The sequence below is a fragment of the Homo sapiens genome, chromosome 10 (assembly GCF_000001405.40).
Source record: "Homo sapiens chromosome 10, GRCh38.p14 Primary Assembly".
Taxonomy (NCBI): domain Eukaryota; kingdom Metazoa; phylum Chordata; class Mammalia; order Primates; family Hominidae; genus Homo; species Homo sapiens.
Genome location: NC_000010.11, coordinates 130179899 through 130199737, shown reverse-complemented (window position 1 = coordinate 130199737; position 19839 = coordinate 130179899). Strand labels below are relative to the sequence as shown.

At 53.3% G+C, this 19839-nt stretch overlaps 2 protein-coding genes across 2 annotated transcripts in view, besides 4 other annotated features; both read right to left on the bottom strand.

Annotated features, from left to right (window-relative positions):
- Positions 1–413: 413 nt before the first annotated feature.
- Positions 414–19625, bottom strand: LOC124902561 (uncharacterized). The gene is made up of 2 exons (XM_047426136.1): positions 19417–19625; positions 414–15870 (listed from the first exon to the last, which is right to left on the bottom strand). Exon 2 carries the CDS (start codon positions 9668–9670, stop codon positions 8513–8515), a length of 1158 nt encoding a protein of 385 aa, XP_047282092.1. The 5' UTR covers positions 9671–15870; positions 19417–19625; the 3' UTR covers positions 414–8512.
- Positions 9070–9189: a silencer, noted in NCBI's record as "silent region_2944". NCBI's record gives its function as "represses an Ori minimal core promoter by ATAC-STARR-seq in GM12878 lymphoblastoid cells {active_cell/tissue: GM12878}" and the evidence as "EXISTENCE:reporter gene assay evidence [ECO:0000049][PMID:35858748]".
- Positions 9240–9569: a silencer, noted in NCBI's record as "silent region_2943". NCBI's record gives its function as "represses an Ori minimal core promoter by ATAC-STARR-seq in GM12878 lymphoblastoid cells {active_cell/tissue: GM12878}" and the evidence as "EXISTENCE:reporter gene assay evidence [ECO:0000049][PMID:35858748]".
- Positions 9240–9911: a biological region, named in NCBI's record as "H3K4me1 hESC enhancer GRCh37_chr10:131988091-131988591".
- Positions 9411–9911: an enhancer, noted in NCBI's record as "H3K4me1 hESC enhancer chr10:131988091-131988591 (GRCh37/hg19 assembly coordinates)". NCBI's record gives its function as "activates a minimal SCP1, AML or CMV promoter by ChIP-STARR-seq in naive H9 embryonic stem cells {active_cell/tissue: H9 hESC(naive)}" and the evidence as "EXISTENCE:reporter gene assay evidence [ECO:0000049][PMID:30033119]".
- GLRX3 (glutaredoxin 3) overlaps positions 19361–19839 on the bottom strand; it is a 43987-nt gene continuing 43508 nt past the window's right edge. The window contains exon 12 of the mRNA NM_001199868.2: positions 19361–19625. The gene's annotated coding sequence lies outside the window, so the exon portion shown is untranslated. The remainder of the gene's footprint in view (positions 19626–19839) is intronic.

The window sequence follows — 19839 nt, the reverse complement described above, 5'->3', positions numbered from 1 at the left end:
TCTCAGCAGAGCGTTCCTGCTTTCCGCCTTCAGGGACTCCTTCTAAGTCCCTCTGGACATGGGTGGGATTTTTATAAAGCTCTAAAGTCTCCCTTCTAAGTGAAGTTGAGGCTAAAAACCAGTGCCTTTTACAAGCAAAGCTTTAAGACCTGAAACCACCATCTGCTTTTTTTTTTTTTTTTTTTTTTTCCTGAGACGGAGTCTCCCTCTGTCTCCCAGGCTAAAGTGCAATGGCACAATCTCGGCTCACTGCAATCTCTGCCTCCCGGGTTCAAGGGATTCTCCTGCCTCAGCCTCCTGAGGAGCTGGGATTATAGACACTTGCTACCACGCCCAGCTAATTTTTGTATTTTTAGTAGAAACAGGATTTCGCCACATTGGCCAGGCTGTTCTCAAACTCCTGACCTCAGGTGATCCACCCGCCTCGGCCTCCCAAAGTGCTGGGATTACAGGTGTGAGCCACCGCACCCAGCCCACCATCTGCTTTTGATACAGTCTTTCAGGAGAAGGAGGGCCTTCAGTGGTGAGAGGAAGGGGCCGGCCAGGGTCACCTGGAGACCGTGCAGTCACACTCATCCCAGAACCTGGTCCTGGGGCAGCAGTGCCTGGTTGCAGCCTGGGCTTCTAGGAACTCATGATTAAAAGCTAAAGGATGTTTTAGGAGTGATAAGATTTTTATATGTATGTTTAAGAAAAGAGCATCATGGAATGTGTCCCTCTAGTAAAAGGCTATTTCCATTAACTTGCCCCATGCTTCTCATGCCTACCCGACTCTGTAATGCACAGTGCACTTACAAGTAATGAAACCAAATTGCTTCCTCAACGTTCTGCTACTCAGACATTTCACTGAGACTTAGTGGGCTTTTTACTGGAATATCATCTCACTGAGCACCTCTTTAGCAAGCAAGGCGTTGCTACAATAAATCCCGGTGCGCTGTGAAACCTCTAGATGACATTTTCTTTCCGTATCTGTAGCTTAAGGATGAAACAGAATACATTTCTCAAAGAGATCCAAGAGCTCCTGAGGGAAAAAAAAATTCTGCTGGTCAAAAATTTGGTGTCTTTTTTACAACTTGTATTTTTAGCTGTATTTGAAATCAGTTACTCACATTTTCGCACAGGTAGCCAAACACGTTCTCAGCAAAATTCTTTTTTTTTTTTTTTTTTCCCAGACAGAGTCTTGCTCTGTCGCCCAGGCTGGAGTGCAGTAGCGTGATCTCGGCTCACTGCAACCTCCACCTCCTGGGTTCAAGCGATTCTCCTACCTCAGCCTCCCAAGTAGCTGGGATTACAGGCGCATGCCACCTCACCTGGCTAATTTTTGTACTTTAGTAGAGACAGTTTTTCACTATGTTGACGAGGCTGGTCTCGAACTCCTGACCTCAGGTGATCTGCCCACCTCAACCTTCCAAAGTGCTGGGATTACAGGTGTGAGCGACCACGCCCAACCTGCAACAAAATTCTTAATGAGCAACTTGTCACTATGTTGTTGACTTTTGTGCTTAGGGGGAAGGATATGCCACTACACTTGGATTTAAAGGACAGCCACAGAATCTGGCACCTTGGCCAGGTGATGCTCCCCCCCAGTTGATGCTCCTCCACCAGGTGATGCTTCCCCACCAGGTGATGCTCCCCCACAAGTGATGCTCCCCCCAGGTGATGCTCCTCCACCAGGTGATGCTCCCCCCCAGGCGATGCTCCCCCCCAGGTGATGCTCCCCCACAAGTGATGCTCCCCCCCAGGTGATGCTCCCCCCCAGGTGATGCTCCCCCCCCAGGTGATGCTCCCCCCCAGGCGATGCTCCCCCCAAGGTTATGCTACCCCCCAGGCGATGCTCCCCCACAAGTGATGCTCCCCCCAGGTGATGCTCCTCCACCAGGTGATGCTCCCCCCCAGGCGATGCTCCCCCCAAGGTTATGCTACCCCCCAGGTGATGCTCCCCCACAAGTGATGCTCCCCCCAAGTGATGCTCCCCCACCAGGTGATGCTCCCCCCCAGGCGATGCTCCCCCCAAGGTTATGCTACCCCCCAGGTGATGCTCCCCCACCACATGATGCTCCCCCACCAGGTGAGGCTCCCCTAGCAGGTGCTGCTCCCCCCAGGTGCTGCTCCCCACTAGGCCATGCTCCCTACCAGGTGATGCTCCCCCCAGGTGCTGCTCCCCACTAGGCCATGCTCCCTACCAGGTGATGCTCCCCCCAAGGTTATGCTCCCCCCCCAGGTGATGCTCCCCGCCAGGTGATGCTCCCCCCAAGGTTATGCTCCCCTCCCAAGTGATTCACCCCCCCAAGGTCATGCTCCCTCCCCAGGTGATGCTCCCCCCAAGGTCATGCTCCCCCGCCAGGTTATGCTCCCCCCCAGGTGATGTTCCTCCACCAGGTGATGCTCCTCCACTACATGATACTCCCCTGCCAGGTGCTGCTCCCCCCTCAGATGATGCTCCCTCACCAGCCAATGTTCCTCCACCGGGCGATGCTCCTCCACCAGGTGATGCCCCTACCAGGCCATGCTCCTCTGTGGCTTCTACTCTGCAGAATACCTACTCAATTGAGCTGGAAAATCATTCCCCGTTATGGTTGTCAGTGTTGACGCTGGTAGCAGCATCATCCCCCTTCAACAGAATAATTTTTACGTCAAGGGACTCAGCCACAAGCAGTAGAAGAAATCAGCTCCCAGTTTGTATCCTAATAAAGGAAAGATTCTCTCTGCTCACACTGCGATGAGGCCCTGCCTAGAGAAGAATGCTCCATCAAACCCCTGATTCCCGCTGACCCAGAGGATTTGGGGCAGACAGGGAATATGGGGTACAGGGAATACCCCCTCCACCTGGAGAGGGGCAGCCTGTCAGACCTGACTGGTGCTCAGCCCACACTGTACTGCTGCTACCAGGAGAGCAGGGATGCCCCGCAGGTCATGGGGTGGCAGGGGCCAGGCTGGATGCCCACCACGGGCCGTGGCAGGCGAGCTCAGGCCTTGGTGCCACACTGTGGCCTGCTGTGTCCATGGATGCCCACAGGATCCTGTAGTGGAGGACAGCCATTCCAGAGCAGAGGCTGCACAAACATGCTCCCTGCAACCTTCTGCAGCTGAGGTGCTGTGTGAGCATCCTTGGAGTCTCTCCTAGGCAGCCGGGACAGTCCACGCTCTGTTGGAGGCTGGAGACTCCAAGCTTAGAGCTCCTGCCCTGGCGCCCATCTGGGCTCAGATCCTGGCTCTCCACAAGATGTCCTGGGGGTCACCAGCAGGATACTGGAAATGAGCTTGCGTCTTCCCACATACATGCATGCACACATGCACAAACACATACACATGTATAAACACACTTGTGCACGTGTCCATGCGCATGCACACACATCCATGCACCCACGAGTTTACACACCCATGCACATGCATGGGCACCCACACACACACACACATGCACACCAGTGCCGGTCATCTCCCCGCAGCTTAACTGTGCTGGTAAGGTGAGTGGACACCAGTCTTCTCTCCCTGCAGCCTGACACTTCCACAATGCACCTTTGCAGCCCCCATGAAGAGGTGAAGCCTCTCCCAACCCCTGGACACTGGGCATGGCACTAGCTCCAGTCTGGGCTCCAGGGGCTCACACACATCTACTTGCCATCTTGGACTCTGTGAGCTCCCTGAGGACAAGCCCAGGCCAGCTGTGGGGAGGATGAGAGGCCCAGTGGAGCCCAGCTGAGCTGTCAATCCGGGGTTGTCCCAGAGCAGCCAGCCCCCAGCCAACCCCACGTGTGTGAGCGCCCCGCCAAGCAGAGTCCACAAGCCCCAGCTGGCAACAGACAGGAGCAGAGAACTGGGGTGGGGGTTCTGACTGTTGTTACTGTGGCAATGGGTGCGTGATACAGTGGGTGGGGACGGTGACTCTCCTATTGACATGAAAGCATAGTGAACGCCCAGCACACCCAGAAAGAAGCGAGTCTTACTAAATGGCCGGGCTGTGCAGGGTGCCTGCCCGCTCCCCTGCTCCAAAAAATAGAATCTGTGCTGCGAGAATCAGGTAAGCCCCACCTGTCCATATGCAGCCTTGTAATAGGAGCCTAACGAAGGCCACAGAGGGCTCCTGAGAAGGCCTGGCCTGATGGGCGATGGGAACCTGGCTCCCTGTCCTGTTCCCATCCTTCGGATCTGATGCAAACAGGACGCAGCTGCCTGTGGGGCTCCTGGCACTGGCCCGCGGCACCCTGGGCCAAAAATGGCTTCGAGGACCACCCCTCGGGTCCAGCCGGCCACCTGGCCTCTTCTGCCAGTCCCACCTATGTCAGTGTCGTGTCACTACGACTGCAGTCCTTGAAGCCTCTGTCCCCAGGCCAGCAGCCACCACCCACATAGCCTGCCTGCACCTGGGTTTCCGGCCGTGCACAGTTCCTCCTGCCGCAGCGGCCCAGGCCAATGTATTTCCAGCAGCATTTCCACTTCCATCACCCCTACCCTGCCCAGGAGCTGAGGGGCTCCCAGTCACTGTGGGGTCAAGGGCTAGCCCCATACTTACTATGGATGGACCTCCATCCACTGCAGGCCCCTGGTGCCAGCTGTGTGGGGTCCCCCGAGTGACCAAGTGACTCGGCATGGATGTTGGACATGCACAAGCAGACGGTGTCTGCAGCCTCCATGGACCCAGCACTGGGGAGCAAGGGGACACCGCAGGAGGGGATCCTGCACCCAGGAGGGAGTGGGGAGGGGGTGCTGAAGCCAAGGAGTGCCACAGAGGAGCCGGTGTGACTCAGGGACCCCAGCAGAGCCCCTCCACAGCCCCATCCCCAGCTCTCCCTGGCCTGGAGGGCACTGCGTTCCCAGCTCACCGCTCCTTCTCGCTCATCTCTGAACCGCCCCCAGGGAGCCAGGCTCCCAGCGCCACTGTCGCTAAGGGCCACGGCTGCCTTTCCATGCCGTGTGTATCTTCACTCCTGCCTGTGTCTAGCCAGCCCCTGAGGCCGAGGGATGTCCTTGTTTCTCCTTCTGTGCCCCCACAATGGCCAGGAGCCAGGGGCCGAGCCTGCCAGACACCTGAGAGATGACAGAGATGGACAAGGCCCAGATCACCCTCCTCACTTGAAATCTGCACCAGGGAAGGATTCAGAACTAAATATTCCATTGGCCTGGAGGTGCCGGCCGGGAGGTCTGGGAGAATTCAGAACCTCCTCCTCCCCACCACCCGTCCTCCTCCCTCTCCCTCCTTCTCTCCTCTCCCTTCCCCTCCCCTCCCCTCCCTCTCTCTCTCTCACTCTCGCTCTTTCTCGCTCTCTAGCAGCATGCCACGTCTGACTCAAAGCCCAGTGGTAACAGTCAACGAAGGCCAAGGCTCAGTGGAAACAAAATCTCTGGGTCAGCCAGTGATCACCCTGCCATTTCTGTCCCTGCTGGTGGCCAGGCCACAGGAGACCCACACACGGCTCGGCCCAAATCAACACCTGGCCACTTTCCAGGGGGTGCCTCGAGGACCCCTGGGGGCTCCTCCATCGTCTGCATGCCCAGTCACCAGCCTGGGACCTCCAGGGGCCTGCAGGGCAGCAGGCATTGGCAGGAGAGGAGGTGAGAGAAGCCACAGGTCCCCATCCTGTCCCCAAGCACAGCCCTGAGCACGCTCAGGAAAGACCAAGGTAGGGAGCAGGGATCTGAGTCATCGAGCACCGTTCCACATGCCAGGGATGCAGGAGGGAGGAAAGGGCAGCCAGACGTCCTAGTAGCATGAAGGGACAGAGAGATAGTGAGGCAGAGATATATATAGACAGAAACAGTGTGATACAGAGACAGAGACACTGAGGCAGAGATATAGACAGACAGAGAGACACAGAAAGAGACTGAGAGAGAGAAAGAGACAGAGACAGAGAGAGGGGCAGCGAGGCTCCTGAGAAACTCTTCCCTTAGTCAGAGGGAGAGCATAGGGGGAAGGCGGGCGGGGGAGGGGGAGGAGTGTGAGGGAGGCAGTGGAAGGGGTGGGCTAGGCAGCATCCAGGCAGGGGTGAGGAGGTCCTGAGACAGCCGGGCAGGGCAAGTGCACCTGCTGTCACTCAGGGGCCACTTCTGCCGCCATGGTGAGGAGTCCTGCGGACCCAGCCTGGGAAGGCCTGGGAAGGCCTGGGAGATGCCACTGCAGGCTACAGGAGGCGTGACCTGCGGTGTGGTTTAAAAAGACCCACCCGCCGACCCGGGAGAGCTGGGTGGGAGGGAAGGTGGCTGTGGGTGAAAGGGCAGGAGGGAGCCTTCGGTGATGGCTGTTCTGCATCTGGCTGTGGGTGCTTGTGGTGGAATTGTCTAGAATTCAACGTGCCCACACACACAGACCAGTGCACAAAAAACTGAAGCCAGAACAAGGCTCGTGGTGTATTGGTGGGATGTCCCGGCTGTGCTACTGCACTCCAATTTTGCAAGATTCTCCTGCTGTGGGGAACAGGGCAGGGTACACAGGGTCTCTCTGTACCATCCCTCGCCATTGCCTGTGAGCCCATAACTCTCTCAAAATGTATTTTAAGCATCCCATCACTGGCACATGGAGAAGAGGATGTAACAGTCTACGTGGATGCCTGGAGATGAGGCAGCTCTGCAGGAGACCAGGACCTGGGCGGGAAGGGCATGTGGAAAAGGGGTCAAGGGTAACACTGGGACCCATGGGGACTGTGGGCAGATGGGCAGAGAGAGTGGGGCTTTGGAGAAGCAGGGACAGGGTGGCTGCCAGGGGCTTTCACAGGCAAGAAGAGAGAGGGAAACAGGTTTCCACCCAGGGTGCCCAGTCCCAGGGCTGTGTCGCCCCAGACTCCAGCTGAATTCCCCCAAAATAGCAAGGTTTTGTGTGGAAATTAACCGAACTTATAACTTTGACAGGTCATTTGAGTGTGGGAACAAGGCTAGTTTGCCAAAATGATTCTTCCCTCTTTAATTAAAATCTTTTATGAACTGCCAAGCTAATACCTTCCCCTAAGACAGACAAGATAATGAGCCCACATCCATCAACCCAGGCCGGCAGCCATCCACAGAGACCGGGGTGGGCTCAGGAGAGGGGAGCCAGCCCCCACAGACACCCCGTGCTCTCGCTTCAGGGACAGCCCCAAACGCAGGCAGGAGTCCCTTCAGGACACACATCAGCCCTGTCAGAAAGTCCCTGCCAGAAACAGCGTGGCTCAGCAAGTGGCCTCCAGCCCAGCACTTTGCAGGTTGCAATGTCCCCCACCACTTCTACTGCCATGCACTCGGAGAGGCCACAGGGCCACCTGAAGGGCAGGGCCCGGTCCCAGTGGGTCCCAACTTGCTCTCTCGGTCACTGAGTAGGGCGGGTTTTAGAGGCCAACAGGAACCACCCCCTAGGCCCCAGGAGCCTCTGTTAGGACCATAGCCATTAGCACAGACAGGGCACCAGGCAGGGACAAAGGCCCAACACAGCCCAATCCAGACCCAGCCCTCCCTGACACAGGGGCAGGCTCTGGTAAGAGACTGTCTACCAGCCTGGTTCACCCCTCAGTGGCGGCCCTAACCCCATCTTTATTTCACTTCATTAGAAACATTTCAAACACAGACAAGCATAGGGACACACACAACAAGTGCCCAAGTGTACACCAGCAGCCTATAACCACACCCCTCCTAACCCCTTATATAATACCTATGAGTCTACACTGACAGAATGATCAAATAGATGAGTAAATGCAGAGAAGGCTGTGTGCAGTGGCTCATGTCTGTAATCCCAGCATTTTGTGAGGCCAAAGTTGGAGGATCAGGAGTTCAAGACCAGCCTGGGCAACATAGCAAAACCCCGTCTGTACAAAAAATACAAAGAAATTAGCCAGGTGTGATGATGGCTGTGGTCCCAGCTACTTGGGAGGCTGAGGTGGGAGGATCGCTTGAGCCCAGAAGGTCGAGGCTGTAATGAGCTGTGTTCGCACCACTGCACTCCAGCCTGGGTGACAGAGAGAGACCCTGTCTCCAAAAGAAAAAAAAATGGAGAAAAGAGATGAATATGCAGAAGTCTCCACGCAGAACCCAGCAATTTATGGGCTCCTCCCCCTCAGGGACACTCATTCAGCGTAGGCTGCACACAGGGACTTCCAACGACACCCTATAGAAGGAGGGAGAAAGCAGAACTGGGGTGGAGACGTGCGAGGTGACCAAGGTCAGCGCCGCAGCCAGAAGGCGTGTCAGCAGCGTGTAGCCTCGATGTGATGGGAGGGGGGCGGCGCCTTGCCTCTGCGGGCTTCCTCCCAAAACACCGCTGCCCCAACCTGACCATGAGAAAACCCCAGTCGAGAAAGAGCCTTCAAAATACTCTCACACCGTCACGATCACCAGAGACAAGGAGAGTCTGAGAAATGCTGCCGCCAAGGAGCGTGAGCAGACGGCGACCCGGTGGGATCCTGGGACAGAAAGGGGACCTCAGCTGTATGGACTCTAGCTAATAGTAACGTGTCACTATTTGTTCGTTCATTAGAACAAATGCACGTCGCCTGTGCAAGATGTTCACGGGGGGAGGCAGCAGGGGTTGTAATAAGAACTCCGGACTAGCTGCTCATTTTTTCTGTAAATGTAGAACTGTTCTAAAAATAAAGCCTATTGGTGTTTTAAAAACCCGAACCTCAACTGTCCCCAAGGTCCCTTGGCTCCCCTCTTCGAGGGGACGCAGAAGGTTCACTAGGGCTAAGGAACAAAAAATTCCTGGGGAGGGCCGACTCTGGGGAAGCGAGGCCAGGCCTGCGACGCCCTGCGGCTCGAGTGCTGGGGCCCAGGCCCGGTGGCTGCAGCGGCCAAGCCGGCCCAGGCTTGGGGAGGCGGGCAAGGCGCCCCAGTGAGCTGGGGCTGGGGCTATGCCAGCTCCGCTCCCTTCTCTGGCCCAGGTCGCAGCTCGGGCAGGACGGGACAAGTGTGTCCCCCGCACAACCGTGCACCCCGGGCCAGGATGCAGCGCCCACCCTGAGGCCGCTCGGACCCCAACCAGACAGACCCCCGGGTCCCCGGGGACGAGGGGGCAGGGCTCCAGGTGTCCAGGGATCCGCCCTGCTTCCCGGCAGCCGCCACTCCCAGCACGGCCGCCCCCAAGCCTCAGGCGCTGGTTTCCCAAAGGTCCCGGCCCCCTCGAGCTTGGAAAGGCTCGGCAGCCGCAGGCAGCGGGGCGGGGCTCTGAGCCGGACCCTGTGGGCCCTGCCCCGGCCACGCAGGCACCGCGGACTCCACTCCGCTCCCGCAGGTAGAGCACGGTGCGTGCAGGCAACGCCCGAGCCGGCCGCAGCACCAGGTGAGCCCCGCACACGTGTGCAGGCATGCGCCCCCGGCTTGGCGCGCCCCCGAGACGTTCCAGCCGCTTCGTCTGCGAAGGAGGCCCGGACAGGCCGGCCGCGCGCCCTGGACCCAGCACACGGCGGGGCGCGCGCTCCGGCACCCGCGGGCTTACTCTTGCGCTCTCCTCGGTCCTCGCACGCCCCCTGGCGCCAGGAGACCGCCCCTGCAGAAGGCGAGGTCGGGCTGAAGCGCGGTGCGCAGCGCCCTCGCGTGGACACGCGCCGCCACCGCCCGCCGCCGAGGTCTGCAGCCGACGTGGCCTACCTGGGACTTGCCGCGCGCTGACCTCGATGGTGCAGCAGCGACCAGGGTACGAGGGCACCATGGACCGTTTTGCATACGTGGAAACTGAGGCTTTCGAGGTCCTGGAGATGGTGCATTGACTCCGCATATGACAGTAGATTCAGTTCGCGCCCCGGCCTTGTCCCTCCAAATTCACACAAGGCCGCAGCGGCAGCAAAGCTCCCAGTTGGCGCGGGGCCCTGGACATCACCTGCCGTCGCTGGCCCCGGGGTGTCCCTGCAGCCCCAACGTCCAGGGCACTCTGGGACCCAGGACAGGGACCCGACCCAGCCAGGCAGGGCTCGTGACCAGCTCCTACCCTGGCGTCTGGTTCCAGGGCTGCTGGTTCCTGCACGCGCCCTCCCCAGTAGCACCACCTGGACCCTGGCACCAGGGGCTGCGTACCTCCCCGGATGCGTGGGGCAGACCCCTCCAAAAGGGATGTGCACAGGCCGCCCCCAGGAGTGCGTGCCCGGAGCCTGAGCAGCCCTTCCCGGCCTGGACCCCCGATCCCACCCCTGTGTGCCCCAGGGCCCCGGGGAAGGGACAGAAACAGGGTGGGAAGCAAGAGGGGCAAACGTGAGCGGGGCGATCTGTCCCCTGAAGCTGCCAAGACCCAGGACTTTCTAAATTCACAAGGCAGCCTTCCCGGTCACTGGTAGGTGTATTTGTCAAGGTAAGAGGACAGAACAGTTTAATGTTTGTTCGCTTGACTTAAAACTTCCAGTATTTGCGGCCGGACGCGGTGGCTCACGCCTGTAATCCCAGCACTTTGGGAGGCCGAGGCGGGCAGATCTCGAGGTCAGAAAATCGAGACCATCCTGGCTAACAGGGTGAAACCCGGTCTCTACTGAAAATACAAAAAATTAGCCGGGCGTGGTGGCGGGCGCCTGTAGTCTCAGCTACTCGGGAGGCTGAGGCAGGAGAATGGCGTGAACCCGGGAGGCGGAGCTTCCGGTAAGCCGAGATCGCGCCACTGCACTCCAGCCTGGGCGACAGAGCGAGACTCTGTCTCAAAAAAAACAAAACAAAACAAAACAAAAAACTTAGTGTTTGCACACGGCATGGGAGGATTTCTATCTGAACTGCTGCTCCCAGGGTGCCCACGGCGACCTCACCCTCTGGAGACCCAGGTAACGGATCCGCCGTAAGAACCCAGCGGGGTGGGTGCTCCCGCCCGCGTCAGACCTGCCTTCAGGGAGAATCCGTCCCCCACCCCAGGCCTAAGCACAGCGCTTGCTGTGATCCGGGAGAAGCAGGATCCGGAGCCTGGTAATGAACCCTGGCTGAGCCACTCGCCCCTTGGATAAGAGCTTTGGCAAATTCCTGAGCTTGTTTCCCCACCAACAAAAATAACCCCCAAAACGCCATCGTGCTGGGGGGCCCTCGGGTTCTAAATAGGCACCGCGCTTCGGGCAGGGCATGGCCTTCACGGTGGGCTGCTCCTGTGGTGCCAGCGTTCTCTCTCCTTCTGGCAAAGCCGGTCCTGGGCACCTCCTCACCCTCTCTGCCTACCATTAGGACCAATATGGGCCCATCCACAGCCCAGCACTCCACCCTGCACCCAGTGCTGTCCCTGGACACCCAGAGGAACATGTCTCCCTCCCAAGCCACAGGAGCCAATTCACTGACTCCTCACACCTCATAGGGGTTAAGAGGGCAAACTGCAGCCAGGAGGCCCAGAGTCAAATCCCAGGTCCAACAGGTACTATGACCAGGAGCAGTGTGCTTCACCCATGCCTCAGTTTCCCCATCTGTCAAATGGGGCTGAAGATGCCTACCTCATAGGGTTGTGGTGAGAATTAAATGACTTAATACATGTCAACTATTCATGACAGCACCTGTTTGCTGTGGTGGTTTCAGCATCAGGTGGAGAGTATGTCCCTGCAGGAATGCACCTAGAACAAGGGGTCACAGGTGACCGGGTGTGTGTTTCTCTAGCGAGCAGTTCGGAGCAAGTTCAAAGAAGATCATGGCTAAGGTGAGTGGCCCTTTAACAGAATCTCCGGGAAAGGAGAACCCTGGGGTCAGGGCCTGAGTTCCCCGACCTCCTTCAGCCACACTCCTTGAAGCAGGGCTGGCCTTCCAGGCCTGCCACCTGTGCGGTCCCATGGGGCCCTGCACTCAGAAGGACCACACTCAGTTTCACGTTCTGCTTTCGTCATCTCGAAATTCTTAATAATTTTATCTGAACTCGTGCTGTTAGTGCAGGGGCACCACAGAGCATGTGGGTGAGCAGAGAACTGGCTACTCCTTGCCACCCGGCTAACATGCAGGGTTCGCGATGCGCCAGAAGCAGCGTTCCAGTGGGCCTCAGCATCGGAGGTGACAAGACTCAAGGCGAGGGCAACATCAGCATGTAACCAGCTACGACAGGACAGCTGGAGCTGACAGCCCTGGCACCACGCTTTCCAATCACATGAGAACTTGCTTCCAGCCCAGAAAGAGAGCAATTGCATTCTAAGAAACACGGATGACGGAGGAAGCCATCATATCCTCTCTGCCTTGTCTCTTGCCTGTACTAGCCAACTACTCACACTGAAGATGACACAGAAGGCAGGCAATGAGAGGGCAACCCACAGCTCCTTCTCTCTCATGGTAACCTTAGCCTTAAGGCAGCATTCGCTGAGGGAATGTGCATGGATCAAGAGCATTTCCTTTTGTGCAGTGCCTCCAGCATCCTGGCAGAAGCTGAGATAGACATAGATGGGCCAGCTCAAGTATCCCACACACAAGTTAAATGCTCTTATATTTGCATTTGAAATTGCCACTACACAGTGCAAAGAAAAGCAGAAACATTCATGTTAATAACTTAATGTTCTAATTTTTCTTTAGAATATTAAGTAGCAAATAATACACACCCGGGGAAAAACCTTTATATCTTAGCACCTCCAACAGCACTTTTTGCCTGCTTTCTGAACAAGCTCTAAAATTTATAAACCTGGACCTGCACGCAGGCCCTGCCCAGCAATATAGGAGGCTCCTTCCCTGGCAGTGGCCCGGGAAACAGCACAGTGCCACAGCCCCGATGGGAACCCAGGGCTCCAGTGCTTAGCTGCAGGAGGAGGGCAAAAACCTGCCGTCACCCCACAGCATGCCCAGCGGGGTGTTATTTTCAACAGGAACATGCTTTCTTACACTTAAGTGTGTGAAACTACACACGCTTCCTGCACCTCAGTGCACAGGGTTCCGGGATGAAGACAAAATGCTGGCATGGAGGCTGCCCCAGAAAATCCAGCCCGCTAACCGTGGGCCACCACCTCCCATCTCAGCCTCTCCACTCAGGACCGTCCCTGCCAGATCCTATGCTGCTTCTCATCAGCAACTTCGGACAGCCAAGCGTGCTGCACATGGGACACGCTCCTACCCACCAGGAGCCTTTGATTCTGGGATAAGACTCCTGGCATGAGGAAGACCCGCAGATCCTCCCTACCTGCACCCACCAAGGGCAAATGCCCTGGAACCTTCCTCCAGACCTAAGGGCAAAATAGAGGGATATGCTGGGGCTCAGAAAATGATACCCCAAGGCCTGTGGTTTTGGCACACTGAGGAACTGCAGGACACCGGAAGGGCCTCAGAGGCAAGGGCTCTCTGACCCTCTGGCCCCTTCCCTTGCCCGCACCCCACCACCCCTCAAGGTAGGCCACGGAAAGTAGAATGCCTCTTCCCCAGTGCAGGTCATAGAAACCAGAACCCCTCTCCTGCGAGGCCAGCCATAAAACCTAGAAATACGGCCAGGCTCTGTGGCTCACGCCTGTAATCCCAGCACTTGGGAGGCTGAGGCAGGCGGATCACTTGAGGTCAGGAGTTTGAGACCCACCTGGCCAACATGCCGAAACCCCGTCTCTACTAAAAATACAAAAACTAGCCGGGCATGGTGGCACACGCCTGTAATCCCAGCTACTGTGGAGGCTGAGGCAGGAGAATCGCTTGAACCCAGGAGGCAGAGGTTGCAGTGAGCCGAGATCGCGCCACTGCACTCCAGCCTGGGGGACAAGAGCAAAACTCTGTCTCAAAAAAAAAAAAAAAAAAAACTAGAAATATGACTCTAACTTTCCCTGGCCTTTGTGTAGGAGTGTAACTGAGCAGCTTAACTTCAAAATGCATTTTTAGACTTTTTTTTCCTTTCTCTTTAGTCCTGAGATGCAACCTTAGAGCAAACTGCAGAAGCCTTTTCCCTTAATCTTAAAATAGACTCCATACCCCTCCCCTTTCTCACCGTATACTCTCTTCACATGTGTCTGTGAGCTAGTCTCTAATTACGTGCTTACTTCGAAGTTCTAGGGACTAATCTTGAGACAGACCAAGCGTGGAAACCCAGCTGCAAAATCCCAGAGCTTACCTCAAGGTGAGCAGTCAAATCTGGCCACTTGTTGAGATGACACCAGCCCGCACTCCAGGTGGACGGAGGCCCAGGACAGCCGCCGGAACAAGACACACATTGTACTCAGCACGATCCCTGCGCGCCTCCCAGCTCAAGCTCCTACTCCCCACTTCTTAAACCCTTGCCTTCTCTCCAGAATTCAAAGTAGTTACTTTGGGTGGGAATCCAGCCATATCCCCATGACTAGTTCTGGTTAATAGTCACTTTCTTTCTACCAGACCTTGCTCTTGTCAACTGGACTCTGTAACTGGCGAGCACCCGGATCTGAGGTCCACTACAGGAGCCGGCCACAAAGACATCCTCAACACTACTTTATCTGAAAATGGATCCCAGACCTTCATTCCAGAAGGGCCCTGCCCTGTACCTGGAAGGAAGAAAGCTACACACGGGGCAAGGCTTCCCCATCCAGTCTACGATTAGATCCTTCCCTTCTGTCCAATCACATTTCTGCACAGCCACCCACTCTTCGTTGAATCTGAGTGTGAACATGCAGTTTCTCTTGGGTTTTTATTTCTGAAGGCTCCTGTGTCACCTAAGTCTTTACATACATTTTATACTTTTCCTTGGTAATCTATTCTAGGTGTTGGCTGTGCCCCTTGTGATGGGTGAGGAAAGGCATCCTCCTTTCTGCCCCTACAGACAGGTGACAGGGCTCTCTGAGGGCATCCAAGCTCCTTCTGGCTTTTCTCCATTATATCGGGGCTCTTCCTTTTAAGCACAAAACATAATACAAGAGCATAAAAATCTATTTTAATTCTTTTAGAAATTACCACACATGCCTTCTTCCTAAATAGACAGCTCCCATATCCAGGTTACAAGCTTGGGCTCAACGACACGGCTAGGGGTTAAGGAACTCGCTCCTGGGGACAGCAGGCTGGGAGATGAGGGGCAGAGAAACCCTTACCTTACCACATGGCAGGCATCCCCCGGGCAACCCTGAACAAGGGCAGGCTCTCTCTCTAGGAGTTCATATGGAAATCTGTAACTTCCTCAAATAAAACTTGACTTTTTGAGAAAAGATGAACACTGTACCACTGACAACCATTTAGATGAATGACCGTGGGGAGAACAAGAAGGTCTTTTTCAGTCAGAATTTGCGGGTCCTGGCAATTAGGTTTTTTTGTTTTTTTTTTTTTTTCTGAGACAGGCTCTTATTTTGTCACCCAAGCTGGGGTGCAATGGCACGATCACTGCAGCCTTGACCTCCTGGGCTCAAGCAATCCTCCCATCTCAGCTCCCCAAGTAGCTGGGACTACAGGTGCACACCACCATGACCAGTTAATTTTTTATTTTTTGTAGATATGAGGTTTCGCCATGTTGCTCAGGCTGGTCTCAAGCTCCGGAGCTCAAGCAACCCGCCTGCCTCCGCCTCCCAAAGTGCTGGGATTACAAGCACGAGCCATTGTGCCCAGCCTGGCACTTAATTTGTGAAAGCCACACCATTTCTAACAGGAACATAAAAATACCAGGTCATTTCAGAAGCCCCAGACTTGGGCAACTCCACTCACTAACTTGCAGCGTGCTACCTCAAAGCCAGTGTGGCACGAGGCTTCAAGCACAGCACTGGGGCTGCGCTGACAGATCCTGGTTCAAATCCCAGCTCCCAGCCCTAGAACCTTACAGTGACCTAAGTGCACCAAGACTCCCTCAACGTGTTCTGCTGCAGCCAGTGAGTCAGTGCACGTGCCCGGCCCATGAGCTAACTGAACTCATGGCTTCTGAATCTGAATGTCTCTAAATATCAGACAAAGCTGTATGAAAAAAGCCCCCAAGACTCTGAAACCAGATGGGATGCCAGTTATAAAACTTGTCTTTAAAGTTACCCATCCTGGTGAATGAGGCATCAGGAAGCTACTGCAGCTTGTGTCTGATTCAGAAAGGTGGATACCTTTCCTCACCCATCACAAGGGGCACAGCCGACACTCCTATAACAAAAGAGATTAACAAGAGAAAAGCGTAAGATTTATTTAAGTCTTACGTGACACAGGAGCCTTCAGAAATGAAGACCCAAAGACTCAAGAGAAACTGTCCATATTTACGCTGATTCAACGATCAGTGGACGGCCGTGAGGAAATGTGACTAGACAAAAAGGGAAGGGTCTAGGTCCTCAAACTCAACATCTGAAATGTGTATAAAACAAGAATTCATCTGCAAATAATCAACTTACTTTTATTTAGAAAGGTTTGAATTTTGAAAAGTAGCAACTGTCAAATTTAAGAAAACTGATCTTAGGTCAGGCATGGTGGCTAGGGCCTGTAATCCCAACACTTTGGGAGGCTGAGGTGGGAGGATCACTTGAGCCCAGGAGATTGAGACCAGCCTGGGCAACATAGTGAGACTTCATCTCTACAAAAAAAAAAAATCAAAACACAGCCGGGCATGGTGGCACATGCCTGTCATCTCAGCTACTGAGGAGGCTGACGGGGGAGGATCTTGAGCCTGGGAGGTCAAGGATGCCGTGAGCCATGACTGCACCACTGCACTCCAGCCTGGGTGACAGAGGAGACCCTGTCTCAAAAAACAAAGGAAAAGAAAGCTGATTTTACTTTAAAAACTAAACCAGAAATCATGTTTCATATTGCAATCTTAAGCTTGTAACTTTTGACTGTCAAGATAGGTCTTATTTGTATAATTCTTTCCAATAAGGCAGATAATGATTACCAAGCGCTTAAAATGTATTACAGTTGTTTCAGAGATTAAACATTTTTAAGTTATTAAAATGAGGCTTTCTAATTATAAAAACATGCTATTTTTTAGTCTACTCCTCAGCAGACTTAAGACATTTTTGTAAAGAACGGAAATGGCAAATAACTTTTTTCCTTCCTTCTTAATGATCAATCCAGTGGGACCAAGGTGGACTTCCTGATGGTTCTGCAAGGCTCAGTGTTCAACAAAAAAAGGCAAAAACATGTAAGTCACACGTGGGCAAGGCAACTGAACCCACCAGGTCCTGTTATTTTATTAAGGAGCATTTACATTATGATAGCAAGTTTCAACACATTCATCAACAAGGCGGTCTTCAAATCAATCAGTCAACCCCCGGAGTTAGAAAGTAGAGTCATGAGGAAGAGCTGCTTGGCTGTAGGAAGTAGGGTTAATGCCCTCTAATCCCCGGAAAGGGGCAGACTGAAGCCAGAGCCAGAATCCTGGCAATTCACCAGTTTCTCATCACAGGTAAAAAGGCAACTGCATCCCACATAGCTCTGAGGGGGAGGCCTCCCGGGAGGGGCAAGCCTAAGGTTTGGGTGTCCCAGACCCTGGATGGAAGCCCCAGCTCCCAATCTGTAGCTGTGCCCTTGAGATAGCTGCTTTCTCCCCTCACCTGCAAAGGAGAATTCCACAAACTACCTAGCCTGTTTCACTGGTTTTTTTCTTTCCATTTTTGATCAAGAGTTTTTATTTTAAAAAAAAGTTCATTCCTGCAGGCTTATTTCCCCTAAACAGATAACAATTCCCTAAGAAGCCTTCCTACAAGGAAGGCACAAACACGCAAGTCAAGAGGAGTGAACAGCCCTGCCTGTATGAGGGCCTTTCTGGTTCCTATTCAACCAGCCTCTTCTAGAAAGGAAATTCTGACATTTGAGGTTTGGTTTCTAAGAGTTAACAGGCAAATAGATGGCAGCCCCCATCATCAAGAGCCTCCCCACAGCACCAGCTCTATCCTAAGCACCATGCAGCTTTAACCTGGCAGGATGCCACACAAAGCCCCACTACATACTCAAAAGAGCAGGCCAAGAAAGGGAGGGCAGGCAGAGCTGGCCACAGGCTCTGGCCAGGGTCCACGCTCCCAAAAACGCAGCAGTGCTTCTCGGAACAGAAATGTGTCCAGACATGAAAACCCTCCATACAAAGCCTGCCTGGAGGGTCCCTCCCACCACAAGCACCCAACGAGGCCTCACGTGTGGGACAACATCCAAATGACACATTGTCACCTTTCCTTGTGAACTGAACAGATTTCTCAAATTCAGAAAACAACTTTGTCTCTAGAATTTGGGGATCAGAGAGGATTTCAATTCTGATAAAACATTTCTACAAGAGCAGGCTCAATTATAAACCCATACGCAAACTCTCTTTTTGTTAGAAAATTCAATAGGGGAAGTTCAGCTGGGCTCAAGAATCTTACTTTACTTCCTAAAATACACTAATAAAATCAGATTAGGAATGGCCATCAATCCGTTTGCATGAACAAGATGTCTTGACCTTCCCCATGTCTGGCCAGAAACAACTAGAAAATAGAAATATGCTGCACTGTCACCCCAACTTACCTGGAGTCAGTGGAGCCAAAGACCATCAGACTTTAAGAGGATAAAATAATATAGGACACAGGGGCAACTCCCCAAAAACTCTCAACACTCATCCTGACTCAAACCAGGATGGCTCAACAAAGGATAACGTCACTGATATCTTATGTCCTGCAGGAGTCAACCAAAGGGAAAGGAGGTCTTCCTAAAATGCACTAACCACATGACATTATCAGAGCAACGGCCTCTGGCCAGAACAGTATTTCCCAAATTGGAGGCAGCCATTTATGTTAAAAGTTGTGCATTTTATTTATTTGTATGTGCATTAGAAAAAAACAGGCTTACTGAGTCTGTGATGCCAAAGATATTCTTGCTTAGGATAAAGTGAAAGTAAAAGTTGACTTAGAAAATATACTAGGACAGTTGGCACTTAGAGAAAAAGCAGTATGCAAATGAATTAAGTTTGAGATAAGTATACCAAAAAAGTATGGAGCCCTCCTCCATGACACACATCCCTGCGGCCAATGGCTTCATAAAATTTCAGTAAAAATTCTATTTCTATCTACATTTAAGAAGTTTTACTTATACAATGATTTTCATTTTAAATAGAAACAAGGAAGTTCTCATGGACCAATGCTATAAACAGCCTTATCTAATTACACAGAATGCCAAGAGACTCCACCATCATGGGTGTCCTAACACCTAGCAGGAAGCAAGGCCATGTCGAGCTTTATGACTTGTACAGACCACCCTCTGTAACACACAAATCAGCACTCTACTCTTTACACAATCAAAACAGAGAAAAACAGCCTGAGCTGAAGAGACAGCAGCAGTGTGGAGGTGGTGGGCTAATCTTACCTAGGAATAGATGCATTTCATCCTGTTTATTCTTGTCTGAATTACTGACTTCTGTTTCCCTTTCCTTATCGCCACCAGACAGTACCAGCATCTTAACTGCCCAAACAAACAGGGTGGGGTAATATATGAAGAGAATGTGCCACAAGTACAAAAAAAACTAAGAACCATGAGGTGAATTTAGCCATCCCATTTGAAGCCTGCACTGTGGAAGCCTAGTGGAGCAACTATTTTTCAAATATGTTAGATTCAGGATCAAAAATATTGTTAAAATTTTCATGGACTTCAAACTGTTCTCAATAGGAGGACCAAAGGAACCTGAACGACCAAATCAATGTTTATTATAAGTAAGTGGACCAAGTGTGGTGGTCCTACCTGTAAATTCCAGCACTTTGGGAGGCTGAGGCAGGAGACCTCATCTCTACAAGAAATAAAAAATTAGGTGGGCATGGTGGTGCACGCCTGTGGTCCCAGCTACTCAGAAGGCTGAGGCAGGAGGATCGCTTGGCCCCGAGAAGTCGAGGCTGCAATGAGCCATAATCGTGCCACTGCACTCCAGCCTGGGTGACAGAGCCAGACCCCGTCTGAAAAAAAAAAAAAAGTAGTGATGCTTACAACAAATGACAATACTTTTCCATTCTTTGTCATGACTACCCATTCTTCTAGACCTTATGAAAAAAGTGCTTGTTGTACCATATTCAATGAGAAATCATTTTCCTCTTAAATGTTTCTTGATAATTCACTACTGGTGCCTTGTGAAATGAGTCTCTAAACCTGCAGACATCCTACACTGCCTCT

Bases quoted from the DNA above. Each gene is read 5' to 3' on its own strand.
- LOC124902561 (XM_047426136.1), bottom strand. From the start codon at position 9,670: ATGCGGAGTCAATGCACCATCTCCAGGACCTCGAAAGCCTCAGTTTCC.